This window comes from Homo sapiens, chromosome 5 (genome assembly GCF_000001405.40).
Source record: "Homo sapiens chromosome 5, GRCh38.p14 Primary Assembly".
NCBI lineage: Eukaryota > Metazoa > Chordata > Mammalia > Primates > Hominidae > Homo > Homo sapiens.
The window spans coordinates 138,625,097-138,646,352 of record NC_000005.10 but is presented as its reverse complement, the minus strand read 5'-3'; the positions used below and the strand labels follow the sequence as shown (position 1 = coordinate 138,646,352).

At 49.2% G+C, this 21,256-nt stretch overlaps 4 annotated features.

Moving 5' to 3' along the window:
* Window positions 3,998–4,551: an enhancer, noted in NCBI's record as "H3K27ac-H3K4me1 hESC enhancer chr5:137977491-137978044 (GRCh37/hg19 assembly coordinates)". NCBI's record gives its function as "activates a minimal SCP1, AML or CMV promoter by ChIP-STARR-seq in primed H9 embryonic stem cells {active_cell/tissue: H9 hESC(primed)}" and the evidence as "EXISTENCE:reporter gene assay evidence [ECO:0000049][PMID:30033119]".
* Window positions 4,259–4,338: an enhancer, noted in NCBI's record as "active region_23214". NCBI's record gives its function as "activates an Ori minimal core promoter by ATAC-STARR-seq in GM12878 lymphoblastoid cells {active_cell/tissue: GM12878}" and the evidence as "EXISTENCE:reporter gene assay evidence [ECO:0000049][PMID:35858748]".
* Window positions 4,349–4,428: an enhancer, noted in NCBI's record as "active region_23213". NCBI's record gives its function as "activates an Ori minimal core promoter by ATAC-STARR-seq in GM12878 lymphoblastoid cells {active_cell/tissue: GM12878}" and the evidence as "EXISTENCE:reporter gene assay evidence [ECO:0000049][PMID:35858748]".
* Window positions 4,552–5,105: an enhancer, noted in NCBI's record as "H3K27ac-H3K4me1 hESC enhancer chr5:137976937-137977490 (GRCh37/hg19 assembly coordinates)". NCBI's record gives its function as "activates a minimal SCP1, AML or CMV promoter by ChIP-STARR-seq in naive H9 embryonic stem cells {active_cell/tissue: H9 hESC(naive)}" and the evidence as "EXISTENCE:reporter gene assay evidence [ECO:0000049][PMID:30033119]".

The window sequence follows — 21,256 nt, the reverse complement described above, 5'->3', positions numbered from 1 at the left end:
GACTGACAGGAAGCCCAGACAGAATGCCAAGGTGGAGGCACACATCTGAGACTGAGCAGGGAGGCAGGGGCTTTGGGCCACAGCAAGCAGCCCCTGCCTTTCTGTTTGGGCTGTTCCAGGATCTGTTTTCCTGCAGGCTGTGAGTTTGTTTTACAAACCCCAGTCCCCTGTGGGCGAGAAAACAGCATCAAAGCTTCCTTCCCTGTCAGGTGGGGATGGAGTGGGGGCAAAGGAGGGCTCCTCCACAATTTCCCAGCATGCCAGATGCTGCAGCTCCTGGCCCAGCCCACGGGCAAGGGTTCTCCTGCTTTCAAAGGCCAACGGGACCCTCCTCCATCACCACTGCTTGCTCTACCATGGTCCCCTTGGGAGGCAATCTTGCCAAGGAATCAGCAGCACAGGCTGCTGATTGGTTGGAATTGGAGAGAAGAGTGTTTGGCTCCTGGCTTGGTCATTTTCTAAGACTCCATGACCTTGGTGAAGTCACTTCTTGCTCAGATTGTTTCTTTAGCTGAAAATCGGGATAATATGATGAATTCTTAGGATTTAATAGTACCATATACATCATGTGCTTGCACCAAGACTGGCACTGTGTCAATTTTTTTTTTTTTTTAAAGCGGTTTGGGAGTCTCTCTGAGCCTACTCTGGCTTGGGAGCCTGCCTGATTTAAAAAATAATAATAAATTAAATAAAAAAGAAAAAAAAAGCTGTTAAAGGCTGGGCATGGTGGCTCAGACCTATAATCCCAGCATATTGGGAGGCCAAGGTGGGAGGATCGCTTGAGGCCTGGAGTTTGAGATCAGCCTGGGCAACATAGTGAGACCTCATCTCTTTTTAATTAAAAAATTTTTTTAAAAAGCTGTTAAAATGTTATCATTATTATTACTATTCTGATTTTTATTATCATTGCGTGTGCCTCTGTTTACTTGTCTGTAAGATAGAAATCATGATTAGACCTAATTCAATGAGTAGTTTGCAGATTTCATGAGACAAAACACGTAAAATGCCTTGAACAGCACCTTAGCCATGGGAAGTGTCAATTAATAGGAGTGATCCCTATACTCCCCTCCTTACCCCCACCCCAGGCCTTCAGATTACCTACTGGGGAGCCACCACCAAACTGGCCCAAACTCCCAGTTCCCTAAGTAGTAGGGGCTATGAAAACGAGGTTTCTGGAGCTGTAGTCAGGGAAGCCATTCCTTTTTCCTTTTTTTTTTCCTCCATCCCTGCCCTCTGCGGAAGTCATTCCTAATTGCAATGCCAGTGAACTTCAAAGTCACTCCTGTCTGGGAAGGAGGCTTTGATCTCTGTGCTTCCTCATTTCTGTCTCAAGCCTGAGGTCCCCTGAACAGGCCGATGTCCAGCTAATGCCCAGTGTCCTGGAGAAAAGGAGTAAATGTTCGTTTAGAATGGAAAAAGTTTTGCCCCTATACAGAGGGCCTGGTATCAGGCTTGGGGTGGGGGGACACACAGGAGGATGGATAAGGTCTGCACCTCTTCCAGGTGCCTAAGTTCCCTGTCTTCTGTTGGTCCAGCTGAGGCCTTATTTCAGCAAGGAGATCTGAGATGTGGCTGAGGAGGGTGGACTGCTCCCAAATCCTCACTGCCTTCTCCTCTGAAAATACCAACACTCCTCTGGGCCCTGTCATGCTTTTGACCTTTGAGAGGGATGAAGAAGCTGATTTGCGATGGGCTTTGAACAGATACAGTTTCCTCATCCTTGGCCCTTCCCACAGATGTGCACCTCACTGGTCCATTCCCACACTGGTTTCACAGGTGGGTGTCTCAGGGGTCTGCAGTGTGTGCCGTGATCTGCAGCTGGGAGAATTTAGAGGAAACCTCAGGGAAAACGTCCTTGGTGAAAGAGCTGAGAGACGCAAAGAAAAGGCTACAGGCCCACGCAATTTTCTTCTCTTCAGATTTTCAATCAGAGAAGGCCTCTTCCCTACCCCCTACTGCCCTAGAGAGCTCCAGAGTTAATGCCTCAGTAGGGCTGGGCTGGAGCTGAGGCTGGGTATCCACCCGTAGCTGTCAGGACCCTTAGGGCATTTTAAAAGGGTAGGGCAACCCCACACCACCCCCAAGGCAACCCTGTGGCCCTGTGGGATGAGGTAGACCCCTGAAGTCCTGAGAGTTTCTACAGAGCCAGGCTCTAGGGCAGGGGTGTCTAATCTTTTGGTTTCCCTGGGCTACATTGGAAGAAGAACTGTGTTGGGCCACACATAAAATACACTAACATGGGCCAGGAGCAGTGGCTCATGCCTGTAATCCCAACATTTTGGGAGGCTGAGGCAGGTGGATCACCTGAGGTCAGATGTTCAAGGCCAGCCTGGCCAACATGGCGAAACCCTGTCTCTACAAAAATACAAAAATTAGCCGACATGGTGGCACGAGCCTGTAATCCCAGCTACTCGGGAGGTTGAGAGACGAGGATCACTTGAACTGGGAGGCGGGGAGGTTGCAGTGAGCCAAGATCATGCCACTGCACTCTAGCCTGAGCAATAGAACAAGACTTCATCCCCACCCCGCCCCAAAAAACAAAAAAACCCACTAACACTGATAGCTGTGAGAAAAAAAAAAATCGCAAAAAAATCATGTTTTAAGAAAATTTATGAATTTGCATCGGGCTGCATTCAAAGCTGTCCTGGGCCACATGTGGTCTTGGGTTGGCAAGTTTGCTCTGGGGGAACAGATGACTTGGTCAGATGGAAGGGTGTAGACATAGGGATGACTTGGGCATGTCCCAAGTACAAGTCCACAGACTCCAGACTTGGCCTGTGCCCTCAGCTCTGCTGGCAATGCCTTTGTTGGCAGCCCAGAGGTCCCATCCTCCACACCAGCCACCACACCCAGGACTGCTCCTCATCCTTTGGACAGAGAGAATTTGGAGGTGCTAGAAGCCAAAAAGCCAGCCTTTTCTTTTGGGGCTGTGTAACCTGATACAGGCATCGTACCCCCCACCCCATCCCCCTAAGCCAGTGCTCATGCAGGCCCTGTTACTGGAAGGAGAAACTCCCAAGTGTGGGAGGCTTTGGGGTGACAGGGTGGGGAGGAGGAAGCCCGAAGAAGACAACTGGGAAGAAAGTCCTAACAGTGTCAGCTCCAGGTAAGGAATGTGCTGCACCCTGCCGACCAGCTCAGTACTCTAGGCTCAGCCCATCCCCATCTGATGGGGCCAGGAAGAGTCACAGAGGACTGTGAGATCTGGGAGAAAGAGAGAAAGCCATTTTTTTTTTCATGATGAAGAAGGTGGTGAGCAGGTCATGGGCAATAGCAACACAGATTAACCTGGGAAAAAGTTCTGAAGAAAATTGGGACATTCAGCTCTGCCAAGACAGTCAGACCAGGGTGAGCTACTGGGGGCTGGCAAATGGTCAGGGGTTACACTGTCCCCAGCCTAGGACCCAGCCAGCCTTGGCCGTGGCCCCAGACAAAGACTTGCCCCACTTGCTGATCTCCCAGAGGCAGAGGCCAGATTCCTTCCAGCCCAGGGAGTCTCTGGACAAGTCATAAAAGTGTTTCCTCCAAGTCTCTGTCTGGTCCTGCTAGAAAAAAATTGTCCATCTGTCAGTCTGCAGGTGAGTGGGGCTGGGTGCCGTGACTTACGCCTGTAATCCCAGCACTTTGGGAGGCTGAGGCAGGAGGATTGCTCAAGACCAGGAGCTCGAGACCACTTAAGCAACATAGACCCCACCTCTACAAATAAAAATGTAAAAATTAACCAGGTGTAATGGTGCGTATTTGTAATCCTAGTTATTAGGGAGGCTAAGGTGAGAGGATGGCTTGAGCCCAGGAGTTTGAGGCTGCAGTGAGCCATAATCGTGCCACTGCAAGCTTGGATGACATAGTGAGACACTATCCCTTTTTTTTTTATGGTGTGGGGGGATGGAGTTTCACTCTTTCGCCCAGGCTGGAGTGAAGTGGCGTGATCTCAGCTCACTGCACCCTCCGCCCGCCAGGTTCAAGCGATTATCCAGCCTCAGCATCCCAAGTAGCTGGGATTATAGGTGCCTGCCATCATGCCTGGCTAATTTTGTACTTTTAGTAGAGACGGGGTTTCGCCACGTTGGCCAGGCTGGTCTGGAAATCCTGACCTCCAGTGATCCACCCGCCTTGGCCTCCCAAAGTGCTGAGATTACAGGCGTGAGCCACCACCCCCTATCTCTTAAGAAAGGCCGACGCTATCTCTTAAGAAAGAAAGCAAAGGAAGAAAGAGAACGAGGTGACCGCACCAGTCACCTTCAGATTGATGGATGAACAGACAAAATTTCCGATGTTCCCTGAGCCAGGGCTAAGGCATCAGCCCAGAATCCTCTTCTCGGATGACTCAGGAGCGCCCCCTTCTGTCTGGTTTGGCTGAAACCAGTGTGGGGGGCGGGGAGAAAGAATGATTAAAGTAGATTCTAATCACAATGCCCAAAGACAGCCGCTGCAGGAGCAGGCCCTACCAGAAGGGTCCTCACTTTAGGCTGCCCCCCGATACTGCCACAGCCTGAATCAGAGCTGGACTTCCTCAAGGGGGATCAGGGACCAAGGAGGAGAATGTCTAAAGCGCAGTCGACCTGAGAGGACGCCTAGGCTGTCATACCTGGGCCTGGCAGCCTGGCCTCTGGGCACATGCCTAGAGCTCTGGAGGCCATCCAGCCTGCAGATGTCCCCAGCTTCATGAGAAAAGTCATGGTCTGTGTAGAAAGACCAGGCTCTTCCTCTGAGCCTAAGAAAGAAAGGGCTGAGACAGTCAATTATCTCAGGGCTATGAGTGTGTTGTCGGGGGATCAGCCAGCCATGGGAAGCACAAGAGGGGAGATGCTGCTTCTCCCCAGCAACTGCCCCCAGAGCCAATGAGACATGTTTCCCAAAGGACCTCCAGCTTCCTGTGTACAGGTGCAGAAGAGACCCGCAGACTCCTCTGGTGTTTAGTTCTAACATTCCATAACCTACAGGATTCTCTCTCCTGGACCATCTGCAGCTGCCCTTTCCCAGTTTATTCGTTAGTCTGATTTTTTTAAATTAATTAATTTATTTATTTGCCATATAGAGTCCACATTGGATCTTCAGTCTGATTTAAATCCATCTTGCTGCATCTGAATGACAGCTAGAAGAGAGGGAGGGGGAAAGCAAAGGGGATGCTGAGAAACTGAGGAGGAGAAAGACAAAACAAGGAGAAGGAGTGGAGAGAGAACTGAAGGAGTGGAGAGAGGAAGACCCGAGCAAGTACCTGAGAGGAGCCATCTGCCCGGTGGAGAACAGCTTCTGCATTGTCCCTAGTCACTCTCCCTGTCAACACTTCATAGCTGCAAGTCCATGCTCGCACTACATGTAGGCGTGGACACACACACATACACACACACATCACATACTTAGGCTGTGGAGAAGGCCTGGCTGTGTGTGGGGCTTGAGGGGCAGTCTGCCCCCTCCTGAATACTTATCTTCTCCTCCTCACACCTCCCCACCCCTCAGCCTTCCAGCACTAGTTCTTTGTGCTTTCAAAGCAGCTCCCTCCCAGAATGCTACCTCCAGGAAGTGCTGAGCTGAGAGAATGGGGGAATGGAAGGAAGGGGAGCTAGTCCTCTTCCCCCGACAGCACTGCTCCATCAAACAGCACCCCCTCCTCCCCTCACCTCCACCTCTTTCATCACTGCCACTGACAGCTGCAAAATCAGCCCTCCTCATCCTGAGCAGTGGACTGCGGGGATGTGTCCGTCTATTTCCTATCCACTTCCTGGGGCAGAAGACAGCTGGGGACGGAGGTAGAGAAGCAGCATCCCCATCCGTGCCAATACCGTCTCCCTCCCTTCCCCCATAAGTAAAGAAAGTCCTCCAGCCAGGCCCTAGAAGTAGCGTGCAGTCACCCCAGCTTTCTAAAATCCCTGTCCACAATGCCCCCGGCCCTGTCCTCCCAAGGTAGACTCTATTTCTCAGACCTTGGAAAGTCGCTCTAGGATATCTCACCCTGAAAGACAGATCCACTCTTGGAATGCTGGGAGACAGTGATGGATTCGCCCACACACTAGCAACCTACTTCCATTAACTTCTATGTCCAAATAATTTCTTTAAATCACAAGGATGAAGCTGGGGAGGGGAAGGCAAGCCTGTGACATCAATCTCCAGCAGGGATTCCTCCTTCAAACCTGGCCAGGGCAAAGCAGGAAAAATACCCAGCACATTCTTCTGGGACAAAACTATGGAAATGAGCCCCCACCCCACCCCGCCACCCACAGTGCCTCTTCTCACCTAAGTTCTTGGCCACCCTCTCCCTTGGTTCTGTGGAAAGACAGCACAGATAGAGGCTTTTCCACCCCTTCCTGGAGGTTTCAGGGCTCCGGCTGCTCCTTGGCAAGGTGCGGGCTGCCTCCTGGGGCATCCCAACCCCCCTAGCAGCCAAGAGAGCATCTCCTGCATGACCAGTGCCCAGGGTGACAGAAAGGGCAGGGCATGAGAAGGATAACTAAAAGCTAAGAGCTGTACCTCAGCTACCAATTTACCATTCCTTCTCAAATTACCCCAATTACTGCCCTCATTTTACAAAGGAGGAAGTGGAGACTTAGAGGGTCTAACTTGTACAAAGCTAGCTGCTAGAAAGGGACAGATCCGAGTCAAGCACAGGTCTTCCATCTCCAAAGTCTGCCTTTAGGGAGATCATGTCCTGGTAGGGAGGGGGGAGCAGGAAGCAGGTGACATTTCAATTGCTTAGTGTTCCCATCTACCCTTGGCTCTGGAACACAGGTTCATCAGCTCAGACCTACTGTTCTAGCCCCAGCCGGGCTTACCCTGCCTGCTGCTAATCCAGCCTCCAGCTGGGAGGTTTGGACATCTTGGGGATGGGCCAGGTGGAGCCTGGAAGGCAGAGGGGACAGAGAAGGGAAGAGCTGGCATTTTGACAGGGCCCAGGAGCAGGCAAGGGGAAGAGAGCTGGGCAGATGGGCCTGAACCGGCCATGTGGGGAGGCTGGGCCTTGAGAAAAGTGTAGGCATAATGGGGCCTGGCTGAAACACGGCTTCACCCAGTTGGCACTTCTTGCTTCCTTCATTGTCCCTATTGCTTTGAATTGTCTGCTTTAGATGTGATTCTTTTCAAATGGGCACCTTCCACCTACAAAGGGACTGGCATGGGGAGAGATTACTGATGTCATAGTCTTCTTCCAGTAGCAACAGCAGGCTAGGGAACTGGCAGCCCAGACCACAACAGGAGCAGTTTGTGATGTTCTGTTGCAGCAGATTGGAGAGGGTTTCCCATGGCTCAGACCTGAGGCTGAGGAACCAGAATAGAAAAGGCAGGAGAGAGGAGGCCCTGAGCTCTTGGACAACCATCGGGCTTGTTGGTGGCCTGGAATACAGGTGTCCATATAGGCTTTCCCCTCCGAGTAGGAGAAAAGTCAGCACTGTCCAGCCCTGTGGCTCTGATGACAGTGGTGGCTTAGTGTGGTGGCTTTGTGTGGTGTCCCCCTTAGAGGTGCTCTACCTCTTCCAGGCTCTGAAGTTCCCATAAACGAGGGGAGAATGAACAAGAACCAGTCACTGGCACTTGATGGTTTCTCTTATGTTGTTTCTCTTATGTTGTTTGCAACCTCCGCCTCCTGGGCTCAAGTGAGCCTCATGCTTCAGCTTCCCAAGTAGCTGGGACCACAGGTGTGCACCACCACACCTGGCTAATTTTTTTGTGTTTTTTGTAGAGATGGGTTTTTGCCATGTTGCCCAGGCTGATCTCAAACTCCTGAGCACAAGCAATCTGCCCACCTCGGCCTCCCAAAGTGCTGGGATCAAGAGTATGAGGCACTGCACCCAATCTGTTTGTTTTTTCTTTTTTTTGAAATGGAGTCTCGCTCTGCTGCCCAGCCTGGAGTGCAGTGGTGTAATCTCAGCTCACTGCAACCTCCACCTTCTAGGTTCAAGCAATTCTCCTGCCTTAGCCTCCTGAATAGCTGGGATTGTAGGCACGCACACCCACGCCTGGCTAATTTTTGTATTTTTAGTAGAGACGGGGTTTCAGCACATTAGCCAGGCTGGTCTGAAACTCCTGGGCTCAAGTGATCGGCCTTTCTTGGCCTCCCAAAGTGTTAGGGTTACAGGCATGAGCCACTGCACCCAGCCTGTTTGTTTTTTCTATAGTCCTTTTTAAAGCATGACTCCATGTCCTTCTGAAGCAGAAACTCACCTCCTGTCTCAAGTGTTTCATTGAGTGGGGGTGGAGTGGGATATCTTTCCTTTCCAGAATCTGGGAGAGCTGCAGTGGTTTGAGTTGTCTAGTGGAACTGCCTTAGTCAGTTCAGGCTTCTATAACAAAATACTGTAAATGGAGTGGCTTATAAACAACAGATTTTTTTTTCTTTTTCTTTTTCTTTTTTTTTTTTTTTGAGAGAGAGTCTCACTCTGTGGCCCAAGCTGGAGTGCAGTGGCGCCATCTTGGCTCACTGCAACCTCTGCCTTCCAGGTTCAAGCAATTCTCTTGCCTCAGCCTCCCAAGTAGCTGGGATTACAGGTGTGCACCACCATGCCCAGCTAATTTTTGTATTTTTAATAGAGACAGGGTTTCACCATGTTGGCCATGCTGGTCTTGAACTCCTAGCCTCAAGTGATCTGCCTGCCTTGGCCTCCCAAAGTGTTGGGATTACAGGCGTGAGCCACTGTACCTGACCAGAAATTAATTTCTCACAGTTCTGGAGACTGGAAATCCAAGATCGGAATCAACTTCTGGGTGGGGCCTTCTTCTTCCTTCAGATGGCCAGCTTCTAATTGTATCCTCAGCTGGCTGAGCACAGAGAGAGGAGGCAAGCAAGAAGCAGCAAGCTCTCTCAGGACTCTGGTTTTAGAGACCAGGTCTTGCTCTGTCACCCTGGCTGAGTGTAGTAGCACAAATAGCTCACTGCAGCCTCCAACGCCTGGCCTCAAGCAATCCTCCTGCGCTGGGCTCCTGAAATGCTGGTATTACAGGTATGAGCCACCATGCCTAGCCCCGTTCATGAATGAGGGCACTAATCTCATTCATGAGGGCCCCAATGACCTCATCTAATCCTAATTACCTCCGAAAGTCCCCACCTCCTAATATCATCACATTGAGGGGTGGGGTTTTAACATACACATTTAGTTGGGGACACTTAGTCTGCAGCAAGGACCAAACACATCATGTCAAGAGAAGCAAGAGGCAAATACTTCGAGACTGGCCTTGATCCTTAGAATATCTGGTTACTCTTAAATAAGGGCTCTCCAAATACTCCCTCTGTAGATCAAAGCCAAAGAACCCAACTCATCAAGAGTGGCTGCAGAAGGTGCAGCCCACACAGTCTGAGCACTAGAGGATCCCTAGGTATCCCCTAGATTCCAGGTCAAAGGCCCTCACCCCCTATTTGGTGACAGACTCAAGTACGAGCTTGTGGATTTTGAAATGAAAAGCAGTTGGTGCGGGAAGGAGTCCTTTGCACATAGAGGTGCTCAATAAATGCTGGATGCTGGGAGAAGAACATGCTCTAAAGGAGGCCAATGTTCTGTAATTTGAGGAGAGAAGAGGAGGCTGAGTAGGACTGGGGGGTCTTGCTACTTCAGCCAAGGTAACCAGGGAGCCTCCTCTGCACCCCTACCAAACTGGAGGTGGGAGGACAGGTTATCATTAGGTCAGATCAGCCTCCTAAGCCGGCATGAATCATTCTCAGGCCACCGCTGAGCCTACCTAGTCTCTGGTCTTGTCTAGACACTTCCTCTCCAGCTGAGGCTGGGAAGCAGGTGCAGTCACTTACAGCCTCACTCTTCACGGTGCTGCCATTAAGGACCCTGATTAGTAGAGCCCCATGCCGGGTTGCTAATGGGTTGAGGACATTAAGCATAAATGCTTTCCCAGATATGGGCTTGACCAGAGCCCAGGAAGAAACAAATATTTTAATCTCAAAGAAATAGCATGTAGGAGGGGAGGGGTTCCCTCTGCTTACTCGGCATCTGTTGTCCTCCCATCTTCCACCTGCCACACTTGCTGCCATTCTCAAGTCCCGGGAATTCCCTGTCCAGGCAGTGGGGTTTGTGGCAGGGGAGAACAGATCTTCACTCACCCAGGTGTATGAGAATGGAAGAGATTCTCAAAGATTTAGAGGGAGGGGGATTTTGTGGACTGCCTTGTCCTATAAACCTGATGGTCAAGAAGTCCTTGACATTGAATTTGGATGACTCTTGTGATAACTCAAGCCTACTTCCCCTTGGTTGGGGAGCTGGAGAAAAGGACTGAAGATCATGAGGGACATCTTTTGACCCAAACAAGTTGCTTTAGGTCAGTGATTCTCCCAACGTGGTTGGGACCAGCAGTATTGGCATCCGCATCAGCTGGGAACTTGCTAGAAATGTAAGCTCTCAGGCCTACCCCAGACCTACTGAATCAGCTCTGGGTGTGGCATCAGGCAAACTTGTTTTTTTGTTTGTTTGTTTTTGAGACAGTCTCACTCTGTTGCCCAGGCCAAAGTGCAATGGCATGAACACAGCTCACTGCAGCCTCGACCTTCTGGGCTCAGGTGATCCTCCCACCTCAGCCTCCAGAGCAGCTGTAACCATAGGCACACGCCACCAAGTGTGGGTAATCTTTTGGTATTTTTAGTAGAGATGGGGTTTTGCCATGTTGCCCAGGCTGGTCTCGAACTCCTAGGTTCAAGTGATCTACCCACCTCAGCTTCCCAAAGTGTTGGGATTACAGGTGTGAGCCACTGCACCCAGCCCAAACTTGTTTTAACAAGCCTTCTAGTGGTTCTTATCCACTTTCAAGTTTGAGAACCACTGCTCTTGGCTCTCCCTCTCGGACTGAAGGGGAATGTCAAGAGAAGGAAGAATTATGAGGGATGCAGCAAGCAGCCTCATCCAAAGAAAAAAAGAAACTGGAACTTTCCCAATGTGGAAATCTCGAGCCAGGCCTCAGAAGAGGCCTCTGATCCTCTGCGGCTGTAAATGTCAGAGCAGTGTCTAAGTGGCCCTGTGAGGAGGGAGTTGGGGGGAAAATAACCAAGCATGACCTTTTGCATTTTGCCCAGAGCAAGGAAGGATAATGGAGCAATCTTTTCAGGTCATTTATCTCCTACTCAGCCTCAGCTTTTCTCAGCTACCTTTCCCTCCAGCTGGGGCCCCCTAAAGCCTAGCCCTCCTTTCCTTCTCTTCCACCAGCCCTCTGCAGCCCTCTGGCCAGGCCCCTTCCCACCCCCGCAAGCCCCCAACCCCAACCCCCACCCCCGTCTATCTTTCCCCCTCCTCCATCAAATGAGAACTGGTTCAAACTGTTTCTTTTTTCTTTCTTTCTTTTCTTTCTTTCTTTCTTCTTTTTTCTGTCTCTCCCTCCCTCCTTCCTTTCTTCCTTCCTTCCTTTCTTTTTCTTTCTCTTTCTTTCTTTCTTTCCTTCTTTCTTTCTTTCCCTTCTCTCTCTCTTTCTTTCTTTTTTTGAGACAGAGTCTTGCTCTGTCACCCAGGCTGCAGTACAGTGGCGCAATCTCGGCTCACTGAGACCTCTGCCTCCCTGGTTCAAGCAATTCTCCTGCCTCAGCCTCCCAAGTAGCTGGTATTACAGGCACTTGCTACCACACCTGGCTAATTTTTGTATTTTTAGTAGATTCAGGGTTTCACCATGTCTGACCTCAGGTGAACACCCACCTTGGCCTCCCAGAGTGCTGGGATTACAGGCCTGAGCCACCGTGCCCGGCCTCAAACTGTTTCTTAAGCAGACCAGCAAGGAACGAAGCCCTATTCCATAGGGAATAAGAGGGAGAAAAAAAACACTATAACCTGTAATGGGGCAGCCTCTCTTCAGACCCCACCCCCTTTCCTTTTTTTTTTTTTTTTTTTTTTTTTGAGACGGAGTTTTGCCCTCGCCCAGGCTGGAGTGCAATGGCACGGTCTCAGCTCACCGCAACCTCCACCTCTTTGGTTCAAACGATTCTCCTACCTCAGCCTCCTGAGTAGCAGGGATTACAGGCATGCGCCACCACACCCAGCTAACTTTGTATTTTTAGTAGAGATGGGGTTTCTCCATGTTGGTCAGGCTGATCTCGAACTCCCAACCTCAGGTGATCCACCCACCTTGGCCTCCCAAAGTGCTGGGATTACAGACGTGAGCCACTGCGCCCGGCCTCCTCCCCTCTTTCCTACCCAGGCCATACCAGTTTATCGTGCCTCCATAAAGAGTGAAGCCACTCTTTCCCTGGCCTTTTACACAACACCTGAATGGTCACACTTGCAAAGAAAGAAAAGGACAAAATCTAGGCTCCTAACCAATCCATATGTTTCCCAAGGGCCAATAGTGCTCTATAGCTTATTTTCCTTCTACATCTGCCATACTAGGTAACAAACGCACTAGATGTCTAATGAATATTTCATAAATTGAACTCAAGGGAGCTCCTAGAAGCAAGAAACTAAGGAGTCTGTTTCCAAATTGGACCCACAACAGGAATCAAGACATGGGTCCTCCTGAAATGACTAAGGAAGAAGCAGCCTTCTGCTGCCTTTGTTCCCATGCACTGCTGTCTTCATCTGTTCATTCACTCCACAAGCATGTAGAGCACACCTGCTGTATGTGGACCCTAGATCATATGTTCTAGTGGGAAAAACACATATAATGTAAGTAAACATATAATATTTCAGGTGATGTTAATTGCCTCAGAGAAAAACAAAGGATGGTAAGGGGGATGGGGATGGTGGGAATGGGGCCCAAGAAAAGCCTCTTTGAGTGGGTGGCATTTGAGCAGGATCCTAAAGGAAGTGAAGGAGACACATTTTCAGCTATCTGGGGAAAGAATGTTCCAGGCAGAGGGTATAGCAGCTTCAAAAGCTCTGAGGTGGGGGTATTTTGCAAGGCGTGGAGTGAGTGAGGCTGGAGTGGAGTGAGTAAGGATGAAAGATGTAGGATATGAAATCAGAGAGAAATTGGTGCTCAGATTATGTAGGGCCTTGTAGACCATGGTAAGGATTTTAGATTTCTTTCTGAGTGAGGGGGGAGGTCTTTAGAAGGTTCTACACAGAAAAGTGACACGTTCTGATTTAACGGGATTACTCTGGCTGCTGTGTTTAGAACAACCTGTAGGGGGCAGAGCAGAAAGAAGAAAACCACTTAGGAGACTATGGCAGAGCAAGGAGTTTTCCCCTCAAATTCATCCTTTCCTTCCACATTTTAGCGGGCGACATGGCTGCTCAGAAAAAGGACTACATTTCCCAACCTCCCTTGCAACTAAGCGCAGCCATGTGACAAAATGCCAGCAAAAAGGATGTGAGCAGGCCGGGCGTGGTGGACTATGCCTGTAATCCCAGCACTCTGGGAGGCCAAGGCAGGCGGATCACGAGGTCAGGAGTTCAAGACCAGCCTGGCCAGGGTGGTGAAACCCCATCTTTACTAAAAATACAAAAATTAGCCGGGCGTGGCGGCAGGCGCCTGTAATCGCAGCTACTCCGGAGGCTGAGGCAGGGGAATTGCTTGAACCCGGGAGGTGGAGGTTGCGGTGAGCCAAGATCGTGCCACTGCCCTCCAGCCGGGTGATAGAGCGAGACTCAGTCTCAAAAAAAAAAAAAAGAACATGAACTAAAAAAGGTAAATGCGTGAGGTGATGGATATGTTCATTAGTTTGATTGTGGTAATCATTTCACAATGCATACAGATACCAAAACATTGCATTGTACAGCTCAAATAATATATACAATTTTAATAGAAAATGGTCTCGATCTCCTGATATTGTGATCCGCCCACCTTGACCTCCCAAAGTGCTGGGATTACAGGCATGAGCCACTGTGCTCGGCCCCTAATTCTTTTTTTGAGGGAGAGTCTCACTCTCTTACCCAGGCTGGTGTGATCTCGGCTCACTGCAACCTCTGCCTCCTGGGTTCAACCGAGTCTCATGCCTCAGCCTCCCAAGTAGCTGGGATCACAGGCACGCGCCCCCATGCCTGACTAATTTTTGTATTTTTTAGTAGAGATGGGATTTTGTCATGTTGCCCAAGCCAGTTTTGAACTCCTGGCCTCAAGTGATCTGCCTGTCTTGGCTGGAATTACAGGCATGAGCCACCACGATGGCCTGTATTGTACCTAATTCAAAGGCTATTGTAATTTCTCAGGCAAACAGTGACAGCGGGTGGTTCTGATGAGGGTGATAGTGGTGTAACTGGGTATAAGTGACCAGATTCTGGAGATAATTTAAAGGGTAGAACTTGATAGCATTTCCCAAGGGATTGGATAAGGGGACATGAAAGGAAGAGAAGAACCAGGAATGACTCCAAGATTGGGGCTCTGGTAGAACAGATTTGCATTTATTGCCCTGGGGAAGACTGAGGGACTGCTGAGTTTGAGAGGACTATAAGAGAGACTCACATGGGGATGGCAAGTAGCCGCTGGATATGACCACGACCTATCAACATAGCTGGCTTTAAAGTCCAGAGAAGATGGAATTAGTTAGGGAGTGAGGATGGATGAAGAAGAACAGAGGCGTAAGGACAGCCCTGAGGCATCCAGTGATGGGGAGGTGAGGAGCCAGCCCAGGAGATGATGGAGGTAGGAGAACTGGGCGTGTCATGGAGGCCAAAGGAAGAGAGTGTTTTATGAAGAAACCATCCATGTCAAATGCCACTGCCAGGATGAGTAAAATGGGGACTCAGAAATGACAGCTGAAATTAGCAACATGGAAATCACTGGTGACATTGACAAGAGAATTTGCCTTGGAGCACTGAGGACAAGCAGGGATGGGAAGAGAGGAAGTGGAGACAAATACAGACGATTCTTAATTCCTGGCAGGTAGAAATCATTAAAGCATCTAATTTCCACCCTTCCTATCATAGTTCTAAGCCTTCTAAAGGACATGAAGGCACCCAGCAACTCAGTCTATCCAGCTCCCCTTCCACATGGGTCTGAAAGGCTCTGCAGTTTTTCCTCTCCCAAATTCACCCTGTTGCTGAGAGCCCCAGCCTGCCTGCATCTCTGCCTCTGCCCTACTGGCTCCCAAGGCCGCTCTCAAGGACTGCCTTGGCAGGCTAGGCAGCCAGGCCTGACTCTCCTGGATCATAATTAGTGCTGCTGCTAACAATGTTTGGCCTCTGTGGAATAGCAACCTGGGAAGTTCTGATACTTCCAATTTTCCCCCTCAGTGCTCTCCCAGATGCAATTTCCCAGCCAGTGCCTTGTGCTCTCCAGCCCTGGGCCCTGGCTGCCTCCTTGCCAGGGAGAATTAAGCCTGTGCCCCAGATGCCACTCCAGAGGGCCTAATCAGTTAGGTAAAACCATCTCCTGGCCACTGTCATGGCATTATCGTATTAACACAGGCACTGGCTTTGGAGGAGGCAGGGGGCTGCTATAAGGAAGAGGAACCAGGCCAGCCCTACACAGCACACAATGAGCATTGCTAGTCAGAAAACTGATGGCTGGAGAAAAAGGAGCCCTCCCAGATGAACTCTGGAGTTTTCAGTAGAGATGCAGCTCAACCATCTCCTCTTTCCTGATGAGAAGCCCACCAAGTGCTCCTTTCTCCAGCGAGGGAGGGTCTCAGCAGACAGAACCCTGGACACTGCCCCACGGGCCTGGCGTCCTGGGGCTTGGGGACGGACCTGGTCAAGTCTTGGGCCCAGCTCTTCTCAGCCACAGCAGTCCCAGGTCCTGGGCTCTTTCCTTGAAAGTGCCAGTTCATAGGAGTGTCCTGATCTCCCAGGTCTGGAGACTTTACTTCATTGCTCTGATGGGCTTCCAGCTCTCTGGGGCAGGGGGCTGTGGTGGGCTCTACGTCTCAGAGTCTTGAAGGAGAGGCCAGAGGGTTGCCTTGGGTTAAGGGCACCGGGATTAACTGGACCTTGGCTTCTGCTACATGGGATAAAGATGAAAAATCAGCATTTCTAAGGTACCTGCTACATGAGGGGCCCAAGGTAAAGTCTTTTTATTGTTGTCGTTGTAGTAAAATATAGGTAACATAGGCCGGGCACAGTGGCTCACACTTGTAATCCCAGCACTTCGGGAGCCCAAGGCGGGTGGATCACCTGAGTCAGGAGTTCGAGACCAGCCTGGCCAACATGGTGAAACCCCATCTCTACTAAAATAAAAAAATTAGCCAGGCATGGTGGTGGGTGCCTGTAATCCCAGCTACTTGGGAGGCTGAGGCAGGAGAATCACTTGAACCCGGGACGCAGAGGTTGCAGTGAGCCAACATCGTGCTAGTGCATTCCAGCCTGGGCAACAGAGTGAGACTCCCTCTCAAAACAAAAAGGAAATATATATGTGTGTATTTATTTCCTTTAAAATCGACCATTTTAGCCATTTTAAAGTGTCCAGTTCTGTGGCATTAGGTGCACTCATACTGTTATACAACCATCACCACAATCCCTCTCCAGAACTTCTTCATCTTCTCCAACTGAAACTCTGTGCCCATTAAACACCAACTCCCCTCAGTGCAGGATCTTGCATATTTATCTCCTGTGATTTTTGTTCTGAGATAGGAAATATCCCCCCTTTCTTTTTTTTTTTTTTTTTTGAGACAAGGTCTTGCTATGTCACCCAGGCTGGTCTTGAACTCCTGAGCTCAAGTGATCCTCCTGCCTCAGCCTCCTGAGTAGCTGGGGACACAGGTGCGTGCCACCCTGCCTGGCTCCCAGTTTTTACCGACAAGGACACTGAGAGGAAAGACAGGAAAAGCAGTGCTGCCTTTCCCAAGGACAAACAGTCAGGAAGAGGACTGGAATCCTGGTCTGCCTAATTCCCAGGCTGTCTGTGGTTTCCCATCCTGAGCTGACCAAGATTTAGGGTCATTATGGAAGTGGCATCATCGAGTAATGTCACTGATGATTAGTGATTTCATACATGATGTCACACACTGAACTGTGGCCCACAGTGGGAAGGTTTCTAGATGGCATGGCTTGTACTTCTCAGGAAAGCTTCCCAAAGCAAGGCCAGGCGCTGTTAGTCTTTGGCCCACCTCAGAGTGTTCAGAAAGTGAGGATTCCTCACACTCTTCTTTAAATTAGTGCCTTGCTGCAAAGCTGGCTGTGCTCATTCCCAGGCAGTGGGCGCTTGACACCGCTCAAGGGCTCACCCTCTGTGGAATAGTGAAAGGAGGATAAGCTAGGGAAACAGACAGGCTTGGGTTTCAATCCTGACCCTGTCACTCTGTACCCATTTGAGGTAGACTCTTATGGAAAAAGAGACCCCTTGAGTTAGCTCAGGCACAGAAGCTTAGTATAAAAATACATGCAGAACCACTTCTGGCCTGTCAGGAAACCCCAGGGGCAGGTGCTGAAGCTGAGGAGGAATCTGGATTCAAGACTCCTCAGGGGGCTGGGCATGGTGGCTCATGCCTGTAATCCCAGCACTTTGGGGGGCCGAGGCGGGCGGATCACGAGGTCAGGAGATCAAGACCAGCCTGGCCAACATAGTGAAACCCTGTCCCTACTAAAATACAAAAATTAGCCAGGTGTGGTGGCACGTGCCTGTAGTCCCAGCTACTCGGGAGGCTGAGGCAGGGGAATCGCTTAAACCCGGGAAGTGGAGGGCCACTGCCCTCCATCCTGGTGGCAGAATAAGACTCCATCTCAAAAAAAATAAAATGAAAAAAAAAGACTCCTCAGGGGCTCTTAAGGAGTGAAAATAAGGTCACGGCTCTTCCTTCTCAGGCTCTGCCCACCCTCAATGTGATTCTGCCACACTGGGTGTGTCTGCATCTCTCCCAGTCTGTGCTCCCTGCTGGGGAACTCTGCTTCAGGTTGAGGTTACTAAGAGGGAATCCTATTGGCCAGTTGTCTTTCTGTACCAGGCAATAAGTCAGAGGTGACTGGCTAGCCCATGGACCAACATGGCTAAGGTTAGAACCTCCCTGTGGTCTAATCACCTAGGGCAGAAGAGGCAGGGGTAGGTAAGTAGTGATATAAACTACTGGGGTAGGGATGATGTCATATGGTATGTAATATGGCCTGCTGCAAAATCTTTGCCAGTACAAAGTCCCTTAGAAGGGGTCTTAGGGTAGGTAGGTAAACAGGACTAATACACTATATTGTGTATCTTTAGGCAAGTTACTTAACCTCTCTGGGCCCGTTGTTTTCTCATCTATACAAATGGGACCATAACTCCTACCTCATAGGGTTGTTGTAAAGATTAAAAGCCCACTGGAACTCCAAAAAAAGATGAAAGGGGACAACAAAAGTCTCAAAGTGCCTGGCACACAGTAGTTGCTTGATAAACATTGGTTTCCCTTCCCTTCCCTTCTATAGGAAAGGCCTTATTTTGTTCTCTCTTGTTCCCTTTGTTCTTCCTTTGTTCTCTCTTAATACATTTTGTTCTCTATTGCAGAAATGGGCCTCCTAGCCAACCACCTAGTAGGAGAGAAAGAGTCCCCTCTCTCTTTCTCTCTCTCTCTTTTTTTTTGAGACAGATTCTCCCTCTGTCACCCAGGCTGGAGTGCAATGGCACGATCTTGGCTCACTGCAACCTCTGCCTCCCGGGTTCAAGCGATTCTCCAGCATGATCCTCCCAAAGTGCTAGGATTAAGGCGTGAGCCACCACGCCCAGCCCCAGTCCCCTCTCTTATAATCCTGAAGAACCAGTATTGCTAACCCACTTCAAGAACCACTGGCAGGATGAGTGATGGGGAGCAAAGAGGGCGCCTATGTCAAAAGGAAGATAAATGTGCCTCATGCTTAGGAAGACACTATGATGGAATGCCTGGACAAAGCAGCATTTTTCTTTGAAATGCTATGAGACGATAAGAATGAAAATAGGTCTTCTCCAACTCGAGGGCCGAGGGCAGAAGAATTATTTCTCAGTGGTTACTCCATGCTCAAAGGAGTTGTCCTAGGCCTCATTGAATCATTGACTCAGCAAATATTTATAAAATGTCTACTATGTGGTTGTCTCTGCTTTCACAGAACTTATAGTCTCATCAGAGAGAGATAATAATCAAATAATCCTACTAATGAATATACAAATACAAACGACGATGACTATTATGAAAGAAGGGGGCATGATTCTATGAGAACTTTAAGAATCTGACCTAGACTGGGGAAACAGACCATGTTAAAGATTTGGACCTTTATTTTGAGAGCAATAGGAGGTTGTTGAAGGGTTTAAACAAGGTTTTGGCATAATCAGATTTGCATTTTGAAAAGATTGCTCTGGTTATAATGAGGAGAACAGATTGAAGGAGGCCTGTTGTGGTAATGCAGCAAGAGGTAATGGTATCTTGCTTTGGTAGTGGTGATGGTGGTAGAGACAGAAGTTATGGATTAAAGAGATATTAAGGAAATAACAGCATTGGCCGGGTGCAGTGGCTCACGCCTGTAATCCTAGCACTTTGGGAGGCTGGGGTGGGCAGATCACTTGAGGTCAGGAGTTCGAGACCAGCCTGGCCAACATGGTGAAACCCCGTCTCTACTAAAAATACAAAAATTAGCTGGGCATGGTGGTGCACACCTGTAATTCCAGCTACTCAGGAGGCTAAGACAGAAGAATCCCTTGAACCCGGGACATTGCAGTGAGCCAAGATTGTGCCTGAGTGACAGAGTGAGACTCTGTCTCAAAAGAAAGAAAGAGAGAAAGAGAGAGAAGGAAGGGAGGAAAGAAAAAAGGAAAGAAAGAAAGAAAAGAAAGGAAGGAAGGAAGCAAAAGAGGAAGGAAGAGAGAGAGAGAAAGAGAGAGAAAGGAAGAGGAAATAACAGCATTTACAGGACTTAATGATTGATTAGATACGGGGTGAGGAGGAACATGGTGACAATAAGGATTTGGGCTTATATAAATGGATGGAAGACCAGAAGTAAAGTCTTAGACATATTGCCTTTGGGACACCCAACTGCCAAAATTGAGCCGGCAGCTGGATACACAGTCTGGAGCTCCAGGGAGAGGTCACGGCTGGAGATGACAAATGTGTGGGTCATTTTCTCAGAGGTAGTTCAAAGGCAGTAGATGAGCTCACTTAAGGAGAGAGTAGAGTGAGAAGAAAAGAGGCCTAGGACCAACTCTCAGGAACTCAGACACGTCATTTAGGGCAGTGGATCTGAAAGTGTGCTCCATGCAACCCTGAGGGGGCCCCCAAGACCCTCTCAAGGGTCTGTGAAGTTAAAACTATTTTCTTTCCTTTTCTGTTTTTGTTTTTTGTTTTTTTCTGACAGGCTTTCCCTCCTGCTGCCCAGACTGGAGTGCAGTGGTGCGATCTTGGCTCACTGCAACCTCTGCCTCCCCAGGCTCAAGTGATCCTCCTACCTCAGTCTCCTGAGTACCTGGAACCACAGGTGTGCACCACCATACCCAACTAATTTTTGTATTTTTTGTAGAGATAAGTTTTGCCATGTTGCCCAGGCTGTTCTTAAACTCCCAGGCTCAAGTCATCATCCTCCCACCTCGGCCTCCCAAAGTGCTGGGATTTACAGGCGTGACCCAGTGTGCCCTGCTAAAACTATTTTCATAATAGTGTAAGATACGATTTGCCTTTTTCATTGTGTTGACATTTGCACTGATGGTGCAAAAGCAATGGTGGGTAAAACAGACTGCACCTCAAAACAAATCGAAGCAGTTGTGCTAACCTGTGCTAGTATTCATAGTACACTTCACTGCCATGCACATGCACTAAAAAAATTTCACGTTTACTTAGGAATGTTCTTCATCAAATGGTAAAGATTATTAATTTCTACTAAATCTCAATCCTTGGGTACTTTTTAAAAAATATTCTGCTGGGCGCAGTGTCTCATGCCTGTAATCCCAGCACTTTGAGAGGCCAAGGCAGGCAGATCACCTGAGGTTGGGAGTTCGAGAACAGCCTGACCAATATGGAGAAACCCTGTTTCTACTAAAAATACAATATCAGCCGGGTGTGGTGGCTCATGCCTGTAATCCCAGCTACTCAGGAGGCTGAGGCAGGAGAATCGCTTGAACCCGGGAGGAGGAAGTTGCAGTGAGCCAAGATCTCACCATTGCACTCCAGCCTGGGCGACAAGAGGGAAACTCCGTCTCAAATATATATATATATTCTGACGAAATAGGAAGTACACATAAAGCATTTCTGCTGTATCCCAAGTACAGTGATAGTCTCCAGGAAAAGCACTTCTGCAATTGTTTGAGTTTCAAGCAGAATTAGCCTCTTTTTTCATGGAGCACCATTTTGTTTTGTTCTGTTTTTGTGTGTGTGCGTGTGTGTGTGTGTTTGGTTGTTTTTGTTTTGTTTTGTTTTTTGAGGTTTTTCTTGTTTTGTTTTTGTTTTGAGACAGGTTCTCACTCTGTCACCCAGGCTGGAGTCCAGTGGTGTGATCTTGGCTCACTACACCCTCGACCTCCCATTCTCAAGCGATCCTCCCACCTT